Consider the following 19292-nt stretch of genomic DNA (forward strand, 5'->3'; position numbering starts at 1 on the left):
CTCCCACCTCAGCCCCCTGAGTAGCTGGGACTACAGGTGTGCACCACCATACCCAGCTAATTTTATTTTTGTAGAGACAGGTTTCTGCCATGTTGCCTAGGCTGGTCTCAGCAATAGAACATTCTTATCAGAACATTCTGATGTTCTTATCTTAACATTCTTGAGCTCAAGATCTGGGCTCAAGTGATTTGACCACCTCGGCCTCCCAAAGTGCTGGGATTACAGGCATGATGTGCCACCTTGCACCAAACCTTATGTCAACATTTAAAAAATAGCTCTTGGGAGGAATCAAGAGGAATAAAGAAAGGATTTTGGAGTCAGGCAGATTTGGGTTCAAACCTCAGCTCTGCTGCTCTTAGTATTAGGGGTTTTTCCCTAATTCTTATCCTTTCTCAGCCTCGCTTTCTTCATCTATAAAATGAAGACAATAAGATCTCTTTTATGGGTTTTTGTGAGAATTAAAGTGAAATCATGCAAGTAAAGAACCAGACATAGTTACATCTCATCCTTACCCTCTCTTGATGGGAAAACAGTTCAAATGTTGAAACACTGTACTCTGGAACATAAGTCTTATCAATCAATTTAAAAGATCCATGCTACATTTTCCCATCATTAACACAACCTTCCTTGATAGAACAGTTTCTTCTCACTTGTACTCGCAAGTTTTTTAAAGCCTTATCTTGTAAGTAGGATTGGACTTGTTCACCGAAAATCCAAACTCTGTAAAATCTTCTAAAGAGTTGATTGTGAGCCAGTAGAAGTGACTGTAGCCCAGAGAAAACAAAAACCCAAGAATTATTGAGTAAGTGGTCCTAAGGTGGTCAGGTTATAGTCTGGTTTTATACATTTTGGAGAGGCAGGGGTTACAGGCATAGACATAAATCAATACATAGAAGGTGTACATTGGTTCAGCCCAAAAAGGTGTGACATCTGGAAGCAGAATGTAGGGGGAGGGTGTGGGGCTTAAGCCGTAGGTGGGTTTTAGGGATTCTTTTTTTTTTTTTAATTATACTTTAAGTTCTGGGGTACATGTGCAGAATGTGCAGGTTTGTTACATAGGTATACACGTGCCATGGTGGTTTGCTGCACCCATCGATCCGTCATCTACATTAGGTATTTCTCCTAATGCTATTCCTCCTCTAGCCCCCCACCTGCCCACAGGCCCCAGTGTGTGATGCCCATCCCCCACCCCCACACCCGATTGGTTGAGAGAGTTAAGCTATTATCTAAAGATCTGAAGTTAGTTGAAAGAAATGTCTGAGTTAAGGTAGAGGAGTTGTGGGGACCAAGGGCTTTGTTACGTAGAGGAAGCCTCCTATATCACAGCCCTCTGAGAGAATAGATGGTCAATGTCTCTTTTCAGACATGTGTGTGTGTGTTGTTGTTGTTGTTGTTGTTTTGAGACAGGGTTTCACTCTCTTACCCAGGCTGGACACATGTGGTGACAAGACCACAGCTCACTGCCTCCTCAACCTCCTGGGCTCAGGTGATCCTTCTGCTTCCGCATCCTGAGGAGCTGGGACCACAAGCCCACGCCTCCACAGGCTGCTGATTTTTTTTATTCGTAGTAATGGGGTCTTGCCATGTTGCCCGGGCTGGTGTCGAACTCCTGGGCTCAAGTGATCCTCCTGCCTCAGCCTCCCGAAGTGCTAGGATTACAAGCCCAAGCCACCACACTTAGGCGGTGAATCTCTCTTAGATCTAACAAAGGCTGGCTGCATTAACAGAGATTCTCTACAGATGCAGGTTTCCCTGTTTCGTGATGGCTTTGCAGGGCTACTTCAAATTATGTCAAAGAAATATACTTCGGGGTAAAATATTTTGATTTCCTTCAGGGTCTGCTGTCCTGTGATGCTATATTAGAGTCAGGTTGGAAAGTAAGCCTCATTATACCAGGTTAATTTTTAAAAACCCATTTAACAAGATTCTGTGGTTTGTAGGGTGTGACTTAACCCTTGCCTGGCATGGCCTTGGGTCTTGTTTATAATTTGGTATCTTACTGCCATAAAAAGTCTGTTTTGACAGTCTTATGGTCTCTATTTTAATATTAATATGGGTCAGTTGTGCCCAAATCCAAAAGGGAGGAGGTATAAGGAGGTGTGTCCCACCTCCCTTCTCATCATGGCTGGGAATTCAGTTTTTTGGGATTTTCTGGGGCCCCCTTGGCCAAAAGGGGGTCTGTTTAGTTGGAGGGCTTAGTATTTTATATTTGATTTACAAACTTATTTATTGGTCACCAGAAGAAATCCCAGTGGTGGGGATGATGAGGAGGCAGCTGCTCTGTTTGCTGCTGAGTTACTTTCATATGTAGTCCCTTGTAGGGGCCAAAGCACCTTGGATGTTGATCCGTCATGTTGACTTCTGATTAACCCCAGTTCTGGGAAGGCTTCTAAGATTTCCAGTTTATCTGTTGTTCTTTATGTAAGAGCATGTATTTACCATACATCTTGCCCTTAGGTCAAAACAACCTTAATCATAAATCCTACCATTAGTCAGGTTCACATGGCATTCTTGCCTTTCCCTGCAGGGTCAATTTCAATTGCCCTGTGCCTTCCTTCCCTACAGTATATAAGCCCTGACTGAGTCTGGGAGAGTAATGGCATGGGGAGCCTCCATCTCATCTTGCGACTGACCGGGACATCATGGCTTCTGTTTATATGTCTCTTTTGGCCGGGCACAGTGGCTCACACCTGTAATCCCAGCACTTTGGGAGGCCGAGGCAGATGGATCACTTGAGGTCAGGAGTTCGAGACCAACCTGGCCAACATGGTGAAACCCCGTCTCTACTAAAAATACAGAAGTTAGCTGGGCGTGGTGGTGACGCCTGTAGTCCCAGCTACTTGGGAGGCCGAGGCACGAGAATCGTTTGAACCTGGGAGGCCGAGGTTGCAGTGAGCGGAGATCGTACCACTGCACTCCAGCCTGGGTGACAGAGCAAGACTCTGTCTCAAAAAAAAAAAAAAAAAAAAAAAGGTTTTAAATCTGATGGGCCTGGCAGGGCAGGAGAGGAGAAGATAAACATTTAACTACAGGATTGTAGCGGTACAGAGGAGGGACAGTTAGCATGTCAGGAAAAGATTCAGAGAGTTGATACTTAGGAACTGAGTCTTAACCTATCAGTACATGGCTGTCAAAAGATAGTTGGGACAAAGCACTTCAGGTACAACCCCAATTCTCGTTTCTTCCCCCTGTGTATCACTACATGCAGCCTGAAGCACTTGGCTCCATCGTCTTGAACCTGTACAGCTGTCTTCCCCTTGGTCCAGGTGACGTAAGGGCTTCCTTGGAAGCAGCAGCATTTATTAGTGCTGGTTCCAATCAGAGAACTGACATTAGAACTCTACTGTTGCTCTTGTGGCCAGGGCCAGGAAACAGCTGGAGTGGTTTGAACTCTCTGCAGGAGGATGGATGCGTTGAGGCTGGGCATGTGTGCATGCTCGTGCGTGCAGATCTGCGTCTGTGTGTCTATGAGTCTGAGTGTGTGTAGGTGTGTGTCCATTTGGATGGGTGGCTAGATGTTTATATGTAGGTGTTGCCACCAAAAACAAAAGTAGATATTCAGAAAACAAAGTGACAGCTCAAAACCTCAGACAAGCTGAAAGACTGCTCAGAGAAGGGGGAGGTTGAAACAACTTCAACCAAAACAAAATGAAACAGAGAAGGAAGTTGCATCAGAAGAGGAAGAATGCCAATGTCATGCTGAAGAACCACAAATGTCGCAAAATAAAAATAAAACGTGTGATTCTTATTTTACCTAGCCAAATATTATTACAATATTTTCTCCTTTAGAGTGTTAAAAATTACTGAAATTATAATATTTAGTTCAGCGAACATGAAGGACACAGAAAAACACAAACAAAAAATTCATTCCTATAATTTTTTAATGTTATATACATCATATTTTATTTATTTGGATCAGTGATTGATTTTAACTTTGCTTCCTACCTCCATATAAAAATTTTTCTCCAGCATTTAAAAAATATTAAAAACACGTTCTGAAATTGACTTATTGAAGAACATGTAAAAGGTCTCATTATTAGCACAAATTGAGAAATTATAATAAAGATACTCTAATAGCGAAGTGATTAAAGATGTCAGAACAAAAAATTATAGATCCCAGTGATGTTATTAAGTTTTTTCATTTCAGTTCATGTAGAAATGTTAGCTCCTTTGCCACAAAGAAATAAAAGAGTAGTTTTCCTTTTGATTAGATTCTTGTAACTACACACATGAAAAATTTATAGGATTGGTTTAGGTGAGGGGGTTTTATATATATAAACTGTTAATATAACATTGGAATAAGCTTGGCAACCAGGTCTCAGAGAAGTCTTTTGAATCTATTACTTTATAATTATAGTGATATTGATTGGCTTTCCATCACCTTCCTAGAATTATAATGACATCCAATGATTAACTGATTTGCCAATCTCGCAAATAGTTAAAAGAATATTGAGTTTTTGGCAGTGAACTAGGGAAGTTTGTGTGCTTTTTGTTAAAATGAAAAACTGTACTCCTCAATTGAATACATTTTTAGTACATACACGAGTTTACCAGCAAAGATAACTAGAGAGTGAGCTTGGTGTGCACACAGTGAAAGGAGCTTGGGAGGTTGAGATTGAAGTGAGCTACGATGCCACTGCACTCCAGCCTGGGTGACAGAGGGAGACCCCATCTCCAAAAAATAAATAAATAAATAAAAATAATTAATAATTAGGAAGAGAAAAGCACTGATCATGAGGAAAGGCAACCACTGAGTATGATGCTCACTTTATGTGCTTAAAGCGGGGACTCAGCAAATAATTGTGGAAGGAGGGAATGAGTGAAATGAGTGCATAAATAATAAGTACAAAGAAAGTGGCGTAAGTGTTTAATTCAAAACGAAGTTTAGACCGGGCATGGTGGCTCTTGCCTGTAATCTCAGCACTTTGGGAGGCCGAGGAGGAAGGATTGTTTGAGCCCACGAGTTCGAGACCAGCCTGAGCAACATAGCGAGATTCTGTCTTGGCAAAAAACAAACAAACAAAAAAACAAAGCAAAACCCAAAAATGAAATTATTAGCCGGGCAAGATAGTATGTGCCTGTGGTCCTAGCTATTCGGGAGGCTGAGGTGGGAGATCCCTTGAGCTCAGGAGATTGAGATTGTAGTGATCTACGATGCCACTGCACTCCAGCCTGGGTGACAGAAGGAGACCCTGTCTCCAAAAAATAAATAAATAAATAAATAAATAAATAAATAAAAATAAAGTTTATATTTTGCGTCATGACAGGGTTATAACATATTTTCCCTATGATGCTGTCTTGGTGATACATAAGTTGTATACTTTTCAGAAGTTGTGAGGCCCTTAAAGAAAACATCTACCAAATTAGTCTGGGGAAGAAATGAAAATCTATGCAAAACAAAGTTTTTAGATATTTTAAAAATATTTTACAAGACTAAATTCATTGTTACTTTAGGAACATAAAAATATATGAGGTATAAAATGGTTTACTCGTAGAATTATTAAATATTTAAAATTATAATTTATTCAAATAATATGAATGTACTAATTGAGACTTTTAAAAATCTTTAAAACTAATTACCAGTGGGGCTATGACCTACTGGACTTTAAGACATCAAATATCCTTTAGCTTCTGCCAACTGAGAAGAAAAACAACAAAAAGAGGAGAAGCCACAAACATCATAGTAAAAACACATACCAGAGTTATGTTTTTTCTAGATCTTCCATAAGGCATTTATTTTCAGAAAGGGTATAGGAAGAAGCATTTTTTTAAATAAAAAAGAAAGCATTTTTCTTTCCTTTTCTTTTTATTTTATTTTATTTTTTTGAGATGAAGTCTTGCTCTTGTCCCCCAGGCTAGAGTGCAAAGGCATGATCTTGGCTCACTGCAACCTCCACTTCCCGGGTTCAAGCGATTCTCCTGCCTCAGCCTCCCGAGTAGCTGGGATTACAGGCACCTGCCACCACGCCCGGCTAATTTTTGTATTTTTAGTAGAGACGGGGTTTCACCATGTTGGCCAGGCTGGTCTTGAACTCCTGACCTCAGGTGATCCGCCTGCCTCGGCCTCCCAAAGTGCTGGGATTACAGGTGTGAGACACCACGCCCGGCCTTTATTTTCAAAAAATAGTCTAAGAGAGTGGATAGGGGAAGAAGAAGAAAATTAACTAAATTCATTAGTTGTAACTTTTTCTCAAGCATTCACATTTCTGTTTAACGTGTGAATGTCCCCAAATATGCCAGTTTCCCTGCTTCCTAGGCTTCCAGTCTCCAGGGGTTCTTCAGCTGCACTAATTTCCTGACTCAGAATTGCCAGGGGTCTCAAGTACACTCCAGAGGACTCGTGTAAACTGGCTAGGCCAGCTTGTGTTCTGGGAAGCCTGTCTTTTCTGGTGGTGTTCCCAAGAAATAGGAAAGAGAAAAAATGATGTGTGGACTTAGGGATGATGTGTGATACTGAGTTTTGCTTTACATTTTAACTCTCCAGCTCTTTCCTTCAATGAATGGCAAGCCATTCTCAATTCCAGCTCTTCTGTACTGAAGAATTTAGCATCACTTTCCCTGGAGATCCAAGGAACTTTGCTTTTTGCCCAAAATACCTCTCTCTCCCAAAGCAATTTCCCCTCCTCAGAGAAATGCTGTCGTGTCAGGCTGCACTGCCCTTGAACCAGACAACTTTCTCTGCTTGTCTTTATCTGTCTAAATAAAGCTAACCTACATTTGCTGTCTAATTCATTCGGATGCTTGCTGATGCTATTTAAAGCATCCCGCAAGGCCCAGTGGAAAACAAGATGCATTATCTCCAGTAGGGAACCTTTAGGTTTGCTCATCGTTTAAGGAACTCAAGAATCTAAAGAATCCATTCAGTCTTCCCTGGTTCGGACATGAAGAACACGGGGCTCTTCACATATATATTTTTTTTATTCCAGGCAGTCTTCTTTGACTTATAGGTGGCTGGGATCAGTTGATACAAAAAGACGTAGCTAGAAAGTCAATCTCAATCATTCTCTCTCTTTCACTCTATCTCTGTCTCTCCCTCTATCTCTCTATCTCTTTCTCTCTGTGTCTCTCTCTCTGTCTTTGTGTGTGTGGGTGAGTGAGCCTGAAGACAAGAAGACACACACACACTGTGTGTGTGTGTGTATGTGAGAGAGAGAGGGAGAGAGAGAGAGAGAGAGCATCTTCAGACTTCATGAAATTCAACTTTTCTGAAGATTAATTTCTCAGCAGAATGTATGTTTCATTCTGGGCTCTGATGATTGTTAGTCCACTGTGAATTGCCTCACAAGAAACAAATTTAAAAGTTCAAAAGCGGCTGTCACCTTCGTGAACAGACTTCTGGTGAGTTTTTGGCTTGTTTCCATCACACTCTCTTCAGCCTCCATATGACGATTTGTTACAGAATCCTGGTACTTCTACATTCCGGAAAGGAAAAGGAAATTCTCCAGGCGTAGGAGCAAAATCTCGGGGATGTAAATAGGACTTCACTGTGAACTTATATATGACTGGGGAAATCTGTTGTATCTTTTTTCAGTTCCGGTATTTCTGTTGGCCTGTCGGCTTGCTTAGTGGGAGGGAGAGAGAGCTGGTACAATGGGATTGTTTTAACCATTGGTGCCCCGCTGCTACCTTAGGCACATACTTATTATCAGCATCCATTTGTTCAGCTACAATTCTATGACGTCCATTGCAGTGAGTGAGTCAGAAGCCACAAGCTAACAGGTCTATTCCTTCCCACCGTCACCTTGGAAACCAATGCATCATCCACAGGAAATGCAGGCCCCGATGGGGAGTGTGCCCAGATCGAGTTATAAAGCTGGCAATCAGTTTTTCAAAGGAAGTCAAATAATAATTTGTAGAATCTTAGTCTAGGGTGAGAGGTGGATCCAGCCTCTTGGGTATGGATTGAGGGCTGTCAGGCAGAAATATCACGAGAAATTAATCAGTTAAAATGTAAGTAGTAAGTAAAATGTAAGCAGTAAGATGTCTGCTTGATAAGAATTTGACCAAAGGCAAGAAATATAGAGATATGATTTGATTTCTCTAGCAAATAGCATTTATTTGCCCAATAGCTGAGGGTCTTTTTTGGTATGGTTGTACAGTGTGTGAAATGAGATAAGGAAATTGACAACACACAAAACAAAGCTTTCTGCTGAATGAAATGTATGTCCCCTTTCTCGTGGTCACTATCCCCGCTAAAAAAGTGATGGAGGCCAGGCACGGTGGCTCACGCCTGTAATCTCAGCACTTTGGAAGGCCAAGGTAGGCAGATCACTCGAGGTCAGGTGTTTGAGACCAACCTGTCCAACATGGTGAAACCCCGACTCTACTAAAAATACAAAAATTAGCTGGGCATGGAGGTGCCCACCTGTAGTCCTAGCTAATAGGGAGGCTGAGTGGGGAGGATCACTTGAACTCAGGAAATGGAGGTTGCAGTAAGCTGAGATTGCACCACTGAACTCTAGCCTGGGTAACAGAGTGAGATTCCATCTCAAAAAAAAATTTTAAAAAAAGTAGTGATGGAGAGGGCCGGGTGTGATGGTGCAGTGGCTCATACTTGTAATTCCAGTGCTTTGGGAGGCATAGGTGGGAGGATCACTTGAGGCCAGGAGTTTAAGACCAGCTTGGGCAACATAGCAAGTCCCTGTCTCTACATAAAATATTTAAGAATTAGCTGGGCATGCTGGTGCACTCCTGTAGTCCCAGCTACTCAGGAGGCCTAGATGGGAGGATAACTTGAGCCCAGCAGTTCAAGGCTGCAGTGAGCTATGATTGCACACCATTGCACTCTAGCCCGGGTGACAGAGCGAGACTCTGTCTCTAAAAAAGAAAAGACAAAAAAAATGATGGAGAAAACCACAGTCTGGTTCCCCCCAAGCTCTCACTGATTTTTTGTTTGTTTGCTTATTTTTTGCCTATGCCTGATTTTCTCTTTTCTTGATGACTGAGTATGGTATAATCCATACACTGGCCTTAGTGTATATATGCAATTTATCACACAATGTCCAGATACCTGTGGATACAAGTGTAGTACAGCTGAGAAAAATTACCTGTACAGTTTCATGTTGTTTGATGAGTTTAACGTTTCCAGGCGGATTTACATTCCCATACTCCTATGAGTGAGAGATTTTACATCAAAGTACAACGTGAAGTCTCCCAGAACTTCCTGCTTTAGACTTAAAGCATGTTAGAAGGCAGAAAAAAGATCTGAAAAATCACCTGGTCCAACTACCTCATTTTTCACACAGGAAATGATTCCCAGAAAGGTGGAATGACTTGTCTAAGGTGACATAGTAGATATTAGGATGTACGTTAGAGCCAGAGGAAAGGAGATAGAAGAGATAGGAAGTTTGATCACAAGCTCTAAATTAGTCAACAGGTGATATGGCCACCTCAGAGACAATAAAAATATTAGGCTGTATAATCGAAGTATGCAGTCCTGACTAAGTGGGGCAATTGGTCCATCAAGGGCTGGTCAGTGTGTGCCACGTTTATGATATGATGTTCTGTTCTGAGTACCCATTGAGTAGGAAGCAATGATAGACCTGGGTGTGCCCAGAAGCAGGTAAAGATGGAGATAAGAGTTCTGGTAACTACAAGCTAAGAAAAATAATTGACACATGTTGACTATTCAGCCTGGAGACCAAGGGATTTGTCATGGAAGGGATGGGAGTATCATCAAAAATAACTAAAGGGTGGCTGGGTGTGGTAGCTCAGATCTATAATTTCAGCACTTTGGGAGGCCGAGGCAGGTGGATCACCTGAGGTCAGGAGTTCGACACCAGCCTGGTCAACATGGCAAAACCCTGTCTCTACTAAAAGTACAAAAATTATCTGGGCATGGTGGTGGGTGCCTATAATTCCAGCTACTTGGGAGGCTGAGGCACGAGAATCACTTGAACCCAGGAGGCGGAGGTTGCAGTGAGCTGAGATCATGCCACTGCACTCCAGCCTGGGCGACAGAGTGAGACCCTGTCTCAAAAAAAACAAGCAAAAAGCTAAAGGGCTATCTTGAAGAAGGCTCAGACTCATCTTGTGTGCCTGCAAAGGGCAGTCCTAAATTGGTACTAGATAAAGGATGATGGATATTAGCTTCATATAAGTAATGTTCTAATAATTCAAGCTGATTGAAGTATATTACAGTGACTGATATAGTAGTGAATTAATTCTTTGCCTCAGGAGGTGTTCATGTCTTCATTCACCCCGAAACATTTATTGAGCTGTTGCATTATACCAGTCTTGCTAGACACTAAAGACACAATGATGACTAACATGGCCACTTCCTGCAAAGAGTTCAGAAGTCCATTGGAGGTCATGAGATCACTTATTTGCAGAGACAGGATGACCAGTAATGTAGAATGCCAAGGAAGAGAAGCAGGCACTGGAAAGAAAGAAGTCTGGACTACAGGGACTCTGAGGTTGCTGTCTGTGTTAATGAAGGGAACACTAGCTGCTGTAATAATCAAACCTAAAAAATGTCTTATGGCTGAAGCCTGAAAGAAAGTTTATTTCACACTTATCTGACATTCACCATGGGTGTGGTAATAGTGGCTGATAGTGGTGGTTCTCTTCCAAGTGGTAATTCAAGGAACTAGGCCACTTCTATCTTGTGATTCTCCCACCTTCACGTCTTCAACATGTGGCACTGACAGGCAATGACATCCTGCTAACAGACAGGGAGAGAACATGGAGGATTGTGTGGGGAGGTTTTTATGGGCTGGACCTTAGAACAGAGAAGTGGTGCACATAAACTCTGTTCACATTCTATCCACTAGAATTTAGTTGCATGGCCACCATCTAGCTGCAAGGGAGGCTTAGAATTTAGTTGAGCTGTTTTCCTAGCAAAAAGAAGAACCAGGTTTTGACGTATCACTAGCAAATCTTCTACCACACTCTCCAACTCTGAGATTCTATGATTATGGTGGCAGAACCAAGACAGGAATTTTTAAGGGGTGCTGGGGAGGGTGGCAGGGTACTCCATTTATTTATTTTTAAAACTTTTTATTTCATTTATTTATATTCATAATTGACTAATAAAAATCATATATATTTGTGGTGTACAATATGATGTTTTAATATATGCATACATTGTGGAATGGCTAAATCAAGCTAATTTACGTATTATGTGTTACCTCATATGCTTATCTTTTTCTTTTTTTTTTTCAGACAGGGTCTCACTCTGTCACCCAGGCTGGAGTGTACTGACACGATCATAGCTCATATCTCACTGCAGCCTCAAACTCCTGGGCTCAAGTGATCCTTCCACCTCAGCCTCCCAAGTAGCTAGGGCTATAGGTACATGCCACACCCAGCTGATTTTTAAATTTTTTATAGAGACAGGGGTCTTGCTAGGTTGCCCAGACTGATCTCAAACTCATGACCTTAAGCTATCTTCCCACCTCGGTCTCCTAAATTGCTAGGATTACAGGTGTGAGCTACCACACCCAGCCCTCATTTTTTATGGCCAGAAAGGAATTTTGAAGTTTTCTTGTTTGATACCAGAGTCATCCCATCCCATGTTTACATTAAATGTCTTCCTGGATTGGATACGGTGGCTCATCCCTGTAATTCCAGCACTTTGGGAGGCTGAAATGGGAGGATTGCTTAAAGCCAGGAGTTTGAGACCAGCCTGGTCAACCTAGTGAGACCCTATCTCTTAAAAGAAAAAGAAAACCTTTCTGTTGAAGGTGTCCTATTAATAATATATTGTTAACTTTTAAAAAGCAAGGTAAGGCCAGGCTTGGTGGCTCACGCCTATAATCCCAGCACTTTGGGAGGCTGAGGCAGGATGATCACTCGAGACCAGGAGTTCGAGACCAGCCTGGGCAACATAGTGAGACCCATCTCTATAAAAAATTTAAAAATTAGCAGGACATGATGGTGCGTGCTTTTAGTCCCAGCTACTTGGCAGGCTGAGGAGGGAAGATCACTTGAGCCCAGGAAGTCGAGACTGCAGTGAGCCGTGATCATGCCACTGTACTCCAGCCTGGGTGACAGAGCAAGATCCTGTCACAAACAAACAAACAAAACTAATGGTGACTATTATAAGTAAAGTTCCCCCCCGCCAGGGACCTGCCACTTCAGAATACTATAAAGTTAAAAGGCTACCTACAAATTAAGGGGAGGTAACTCTCCTTAATGTATAAGGAGCAGACTGTGAAGCTGCTCTAGGTCTACTAGTAATCGTGTCTAACAAATCAATAATTAAAAGGCAAATACTCAAATATAAATATTGGCAAAGGATATAAATGAAAAATCATAGAAAGAGATCTCAATAACTATCATGCAAACGTTTAAAAATTTTTTCTCCTCAAAATGAAGAGAGATAAATGAAAAATACTATCTAATATAGATAAAAGTACATGGAAATAGGAACATTGATATTTTTCTGATGGAGATATTAGTTGGCAAAACCTTTCCAGAGGTAAATTTAGAAATATTTTAAAACATTAAACTCATTCATACGCTATAACCTGTAACTTCACTCTACTAATTTGTCCTAATAAAATATTCAGATAAACATAACCATTTATGGCAAATAATATTAATATCAGAATTTTTATGAGCCCAGCAAAAGGTGGATTAAATGACACAGTAGGCAAATGGGATACCAAGTTGTCGTTAAAGAACTAGCTAAAAGCTAAAGGAAAATCTTGCTATCTAATGTTAAGAAAAAAGAATGATTCAAAAATAGACACAGAAATGTGTATATACCTTACAGACCTGGTGAATCCTGAAAGACTCTTGTTAAGACAAACTGGCTAAGAGTGATTTAAGCTTAGAAAGACACCTTGGTCCTTCCAAGATTTAGAACTAGGCAGAGCCCTCTTCTTGCTGATATTCATCCCATGGGCCACTTTATTCATAATAGATCCTTTCATACATACTGAAAATCAGTCATGGCAGCCCTTGGTGAGCAAGTGTCATAAAGTACTCCTTAGCAGGCTAGGCTGTGATCCCAGCACTTTGGGAGGCAGAGGAGGGTGGATCACTTGAGGCCAGGAGTTTGAGACCAGGCTGGCCAACATGGTGAAACCCTGTCTCTACTAAAAATACAAAAATTAGCCAGGCATGGTGGCACATACCTATAATACCAGCTAGTTGGGAGGCTGAGGCATGAGAATTGCTTGAACCTGGGAGGCAGAGATTGCAGTGAGCCGAGATTGCACCACTGCACTCCAGCCTGGAAGACAGAAGGAGACTCTGTCTAAAAAAAAAAAAAAGAAAAAAGAAAAAAAAAAAAAGAACACCTTAGCAGCCCAGGGGCGGTGGCTCACGCCTGTAATTCCAGCACTTTGGGAGGCCAAGGTGGGAGAATTATTTGAGCCCAGGAATTCAAGGCCATCCTGGCCAACATAGTGAGAACTTGTCGCTACAAAAATTTTTAAAAAGTAGCCAGGTGTGGTGGCCTGCACATGTGGTCCCAGTTGCTAAGGAAGCTGATGGCATCACTGCATTCCAGCCTGGGTGAGATCTTGTCTAAACAAAACAAAGCAAAACAAAAACAAAAACTCCTTAGCACTGTCACAACACCTAGCTTTTAAGTACTTGAACACAATTTTAGCTTTCATCTGAATTAATGCTTGGATGATAGGCAGTCAAAGTTGATGCTAGCTCTCTAATCACATACTCAGTATTGTTTCCATTTCTTTGATTACTTTCCCTCATTTTCTGCTAATTGCTGTTCATTGCATAGACCCCGCCAGCATTTTTCACATTTTGAACCTTTTTGTCTTTCCGAATCACCCTGTTGACTAAGGATCCATCTCTTACCCGCTTGCAACACATGATTTTTCTTACCACATTCAATCTGTTAATCTGTTTTATTTTCATCATAATCCTAAACCTATTCTCAATAGCACATTGAGCATTCTGAATTGTTTTTGCAATTATCAGACACTGAGGTTAATAATGTTGCAAAACACCTAAGATTAAATACAGCAAATCTGCTGGTAATGGAAAATTAGCTGGCCAAGGCTAAGATGACCACGGCCAACGGCTATTGTCATCTGTTGAGGGCAGGCGAAGTTGAAACACTTTTACTTTTGGAGGAAAGTATTTTCCATCTCCGTGAAAGTTCACAGCTGGCTAGGTATGGTGGCTCACGCCTGTAATCCCAGCAATTTGGGAGGCTAAAGCAGGAGGATCACTTGAGGCCAGGCATTTGAGACCAACTTGGGCACATAGCAAGACTCCATCTCTACAAAAAATTTTAAAAATTAGCTGGTTATGGTGGGGCATGCCTGTAGTCCCGGCTACTCAGGAGGCTGACGTGTGAGGATCCCTTGAGCCCAGGAGTTTGAGACTAAAGTGAGCTGTGATTGCGCCACTGCCCTCCAGGCTGGGTGACAGAGTGTGACCCTGTCTCTTAAAAAGAAAAAGGAAAGTTCCTTTTTGCTATAGGCCCGAGGGGTTGCTGCTGAAATGGGCAAGTTCATGAAACCTGGGACGGTGGTGCTTGTTCTGGCTGGATGCTATTCTGGATGCAAAGCCATCATCGTGAAGAACATTGATGATGGTACCTTAGATCGCCCCTACAGCCATGCTCTGGTGGCTGGAATTGACCGCTGTCCCCACAAAGTGACAGCTGCCATGGGCAAGAAGAAGATCTCTAAGAGGTCAAAGATCAAGTCTTTTGTGAAAGTTTATAACCACAATCAGCTAATGCCCACAAGGTACTCTGTGGATATCCCCTTGGACAAAACTGTCATCAATAAGGATGTCTTCAGAGACCCTACTCTTAAACACAAGGCCCGATGAGAGGCCAAGGTCAAGTTTGAAGAGAGATACAAGACAGGCAAGAACAAGCGGTTCTTCCAGAAGCTGCGGTTTTAGATGCTTCGTTTTGGTCATTAAAAATTAAACAGAAAAAAAAAAGGAAAGTTCACAGATGGCCAAACTTTTCCACAGCCATGGTACCGTCCTAGTGAAGTACATTTGAGACAATAGTCATCAAATTACATATAAATACGTAATCAACCAAAATTATTTTTAGATAGTTCAGTTGGTTTACGTTGTCTGAATTGGCGGAGTCTGGGGGTTTGATTTCTGTGTCAGTTACTTGAAGAAAAATTGTGCCACTCAAATACTCTACACCTATGTCTAGCCATGTCACAAATACCTGCTCTTCAGGGGGCCTAGATACAGTATGTCGGGAGACAATCATGTCATTTCCGCAGTCCGTATAGAACAATGCTGTTACCGGCCTTTGTAATAATGTGTGAACCTGGACTCTGCAAACTCAAAACCTCATGTGTTACCCGCTTGCAACACATGATTTTTCTTACCACATTCAATCTGTTAATCTGTTTTATTTTCATCATAATCCTAAACCTATTCTCAATAGCACATTGAGCATTCTGAATTGTTTTTGCAATTATCAGACACTGAGGTTAATAATGTTACAAAACACCTAAGATTAAATACAGCAAATCTGCTGGTAATGGAAAATTAGCTGGCCAAGGCTAAGATGACCACGGCTAACTGCTATTGGCCATGCTTCTATCCATTAACAGGAAAGAAGACGCTTTAGTCATATATTTAAATTTTTTAAAAATTATGTCAGGCCCTGCGAGGTAGCTCACGTCTGTAATCCCAGCACTTTGGGAGGCCAAGGTGGGTGGATCACCTGAAATCAGGAGTTCAAGACCAGCCTGGCCAACATGGTGAAACCCCGTCTCTACTAAAAATACAAAAAATTAGCTGGGCATGGTGGCACGTTCCTGTAATCCCAGCTACTCAGGAGGCTGAGGCAGGAGAATCGCTTGAACCAGGAGGCAGAGGTTGAAGTGAGCCGAGCTGCACCGCTGTACTCCAGCCTGGGTGACAGAGCAAAACCCTGTCTCAAAAAAACAAACAAACAAAAAATATGGTTGGATCACAAGATTCTCCAAATGTAAAACACTAAAGAAAGTCAAAAGAGGCCCATTTTTCTAATTGAGATTAAAAAAATCGAGTGGTACCCGATTTCCCTCTACTCCCCAGGGACCTGATGACCATTAATGCCTATTGAGTTAGTTTTCGGGAATTTGCCGAAGAGCAGGTGGGTGTCACTAGAGAATACTGCATATTTCTCAAAGTAGAGAAGGCTACAGATTCACAACTCAGCTTCTGGCTTCAAATGCAATTTTCTCCCTGTTTTCATGACCCGCTCCTCCCTCCAACGCCAGAGCTGCAGGCAGTTCTCTGAATAACACTATGTCCCTGGCCTCCTAGCTCCCATTTGAACGTTTCAGCAGGGCTCCTCTGAAGTCTGGCCCCCACCACCTCCCCTCTCACAGGCTTCTTGTTCGTCTGAGTCAGCCCGTGACTCACCTCACTCATTAGCGGAACTCAGAATGCCTCTCCATCCTCTGGATCCCTTTTGTCTCCCTGCTTATAACTGGTTTCCTGGCAGCCTAAGGTCTATGGACAGCCTTGAAGCTAGAAGGTGGGTTGCTACTAGGATGGTCTGCTCAGTAAAGTGGTTGGCAGACAGCAAGTAGAGTTACAGTGACGACGGTGATGACGGTGATGACGATGATGACGATGATGCATGCAGTTGCCTCAAAAGGACTTTGGTGGCCAGATTTGGCATGTCCCCCTGTGTTGGCACAGGGGTCCTTGATTCTTGGCCCCTTCTTTCCTCTTTCTAGTCTTTTCTTTCCCTCTTCATCCGCCCCTCCTCTGCACATATGCCCGAATGTACAAGGTGAATGCTTCTGGGCTCTGCTCTCTGTGGAAAGGCAGGGAAAAGAGCGACACCCCTACACGGCGGCACCCTTTCCTCCAGCCTTTGCAGCTCCGTTCTCATTTCTACTCATTTGATTTTACATCCCAATGCTTTCTGTTTTGTAAGAGGTGGACTAGAAGGGACGAATGAGAAAAGGCTTTACGCCTTGTTGGTGCCTCCTGGGCATATAAAAAAGCCCAGTGACATGATACTAATAAGAAACTCTAAATTCACGGTCAAAAATATCAGAACCAAATCACTGTTATTAATTTGTTAATCTTACTTAAAGGCCTTTGTAAAATGGTGATACAGTCAAGTGCTGCATAATGACATTTCGGTCAGTGACAGACTGCATGTACAATGGTGATCCCATAAGATTATTATACGGTCTTTTTTTTTTTTTTTTTTGAGACAGAGTCTCGCTCTGTTGCCCAGGCTGAGAGCAGTGGCGTGATCTCGGCTCACTGCAACCTCTGTCTCCTAGGTTCAAGCAATTCTCCTACCTCAGCCTCCCGAGTAGCTGGGATTACAGGTGCCCACAACCACGCCCAGCTAATTTTTGCATTTTTAGTAGAGATGGGGTTTCACCACATTAGCCAGGCTGGTCTCGAATTCCTGCCCTCAGGTGATCCGCGCCCCCCGCCCCCGGCCTCGGCCTCCCAAAGTGCTGGGATTACAGGCGTGAGCCACTGTGCCCGGCCCTATACTGTCTTTTTACTGTACCTTTTCTATGTTTAGATATGCTTTGATACACAAATACTATTGTGTTACAGCTGCCTACAGTATTCAGTACAGGAGCATGTCATACAGGTTTGAAGCCTAGGAGCAATAGGCTATGCCATGTAGCCTAGGTGTGCAGTGGGCTTATCCCATCTAGGTTTGTGTAAGTGCACTCTATGATGTTCAAACAACAATGAAGTCTCCTAACAATGCATTTCTCAGAACGTATCCCTGTCATTAAACAACGCATGACTATAGTTTACTCAGCTGAATCCTGACAGCTTTCATTAAGTCTCATGATTTATTTTGAAAGGGACCTCAGAGACCATCCTGTCCACTCTTTTGTTCAATGGGCAGATGCGTGATTGCTGTGCACCTGTGATGGTCAAAGCCCAAGCCAGGTGCCCTAGGGCCGCACTTCTGAAGCCCCTGAGAGGCAGATCTTGTTCTGGACACCTGGGGAGGGGGCCCAAGGTCCTGCATTTCTATAACCTCCTTGGGGATGTCCGTGCCATCAGCCCACAGACCACACTTTGAGTAGCACTGCTGCAGGCACTCTGCACAAAGCTAGATAGGCTTGACTTGTCACCGGAGAACATCCAGGGCCATAGGCTCCATGAGGCGGCCCTCTGCACCCTGCCTTGTCGGCTGCTGATGTTTGCTTGTGAGGCCCAGGGAATGCCAAACAATTCTTCCAAGTGCACTTGGCTTTCTTGTGTCTTCACCCCCAGCCAGGGGTGTTAAAATGAGAAGATTCGGGTTTGGGATTAGGACAAGAAAAAGGGCCCATAAAGCTTCACCCTAGACTATGAAGTCTAGTCTGGGTTATCTTAGAAGAGAGCTCTAAACCCACATTTTAGGCAGATTCTGTTTAACAATAAAGTATTTCTTTGATTGCTACAGAGATCTTCTTTTATGATTTGTTCGTTCATGTCCTTTGCTGATTTTTCTATTGCAGTCTTTGCCTTTTAATTATTGAACTGTAACAGCTCTTCATTACAATACTAAGGAAAATCCCCCTTCCTCCAATAAAGTGATTTTAGTCTTTTTTTTTTTTTGACTAATTTTTTGTAGAGACGGGGTTTTGCCATGTTGCCCAGGCTGGACTCCTGGCCTCAAGTGATGTGCCCGCCTCAGCCTCCCAAAGTGCTGGGATTACAGGTGTGAACCACTGTGCCTGGCTGTTTTTAGACTTTTAACTTTATCTATTAAATTCTGAGTTTGGAATCTTGGATTCTAGGACAATCTTGCTAATCTGAGCAAGCTGCTTTGCTTCTTGTGATGTGGTTTCTTTCTGTACCTGTAGATGGAGAGGGTAAAGCTGACCTATCTCAGGGCACTGTTGAGAGTGGAATGTGTGTGTGTGGTAGTACTGTACAGATGTAGGGCATAGTTAGCTTGTTTTCAGAGCCTCTATTAATCTGATCACTTTATTAAACCTAGTGTGGGACATGGCAAACTGGTGTTGACAAGTACAAGTTTTGTTTTGTTCTGTTGTTTATTTTGGTTAAACAAACACTATGGAGCACTTCCAAGTACTCTGAGTTGTAACTTCTCATTGTGTTAAGATACATGAAGCAGAGTTGGAAGATGCCTACTGAGAGCTTTTTTTTACCTTTTCTTCTTTTTCTTTTTTCTTTTTTTTTTTTTTGTCACCATGGCTGGAGTGCAATGCCGCAATCTCAGCTCACTGCAACCTCTGCCTTCCGGGTTGAAGCGATTCTCCTGCCTCAGCCTCCTGAGTAGCTGGGATTACAGGCACACGCACCACCACGCCCAGCTAATTTTTGTATTTTTAGTAGAGATGGGGTTTCACCATGTTGGTCAGGCTGGTCTCGAACTCCTGACCTTGTGATCTGCCTGC

The 19292-nt window shown here is 42.6% G+C and overlaps 1 protein-coding gene and 1 pseudogene across 2 annotated transcripts in view, besides 4 other annotated features; both read left to right on the forward strand.

Annotated features, from left to right (window-relative positions):
- Window positions 1–19292, forward strand: part of MKLN1 (muskelin 1) — a 386539-nt gene that overhangs the window by 118077 nt on the left and 249170 nt on the right. The window lies entirely within an intron of this gene.
- Window positions 3217–3266: an enhancer, noted in NCBI's record as "active region_26674". NCBI's record gives its function as "activates an Ori minimal core promoter by ATAC-STARR-seq in GM12878 lymphoblastoid cells {active_cell/tissue: GM12878}" and the evidence as "EXISTENCE:reporter gene assay evidence [ECO:0000049][PMID:35858748]".
- Window positions 3677–3726: an enhancer, noted in NCBI's record as "active region_26675". NCBI's record gives its function as "activates an Ori minimal core promoter by ATAC-STARR-seq in GM12878 lymphoblastoid cells {active_cell/tissue: GM12878}" and the evidence as "EXISTENCE:reporter gene assay evidence [ECO:0000049][PMID:35858748]".
- RPL27P11 (ribosomal protein L27 pseudogene 11) lies at window positions 14385–14871 on the forward strand (annotated as a pseudogene).
- Window positions 16084–16677: an enhancer, noted in NCBI's record as "H3K27ac hESC enhancer chr7:130929013-130929606 (GRCh37/hg19 assembly coordinates)". NCBI's record gives its function as "activates a minimal SCP1, AML or CMV promoter by ChIP-STARR-seq in naive H9 embryonic stem cells {active_cell/tissue: H9 hESC(naive)}" and the evidence as "EXISTENCE:reporter gene assay evidence [ECO:0000049][PMID:30033119]".
- Window positions 17862–18453: an enhancer, noted in NCBI's record as "H3K4me1 hESC enhancer chr7:130930791-130931382 (GRCh37/hg19 assembly coordinates)". NCBI's record gives its function as "activates a minimal SCP1, AML or CMV promoter by ChIP-STARR-seq in primed H9 embryonic stem cells {active_cell/tissue: H9 hESC(primed)}" and the evidence as "EXISTENCE:reporter gene assay evidence [ECO:0000049][PMID:30033119]".

Source organism: Homo sapiens, chromosome 7 (assembly GCF_000001405.40).
Source record: "Homo sapiens chromosome 7, GRCh38.p14 Primary Assembly".
Taxonomy (NCBI): domain Eukaryota; kingdom Metazoa; phylum Chordata; class Mammalia; order Primates; family Hominidae; genus Homo; species Homo sapiens.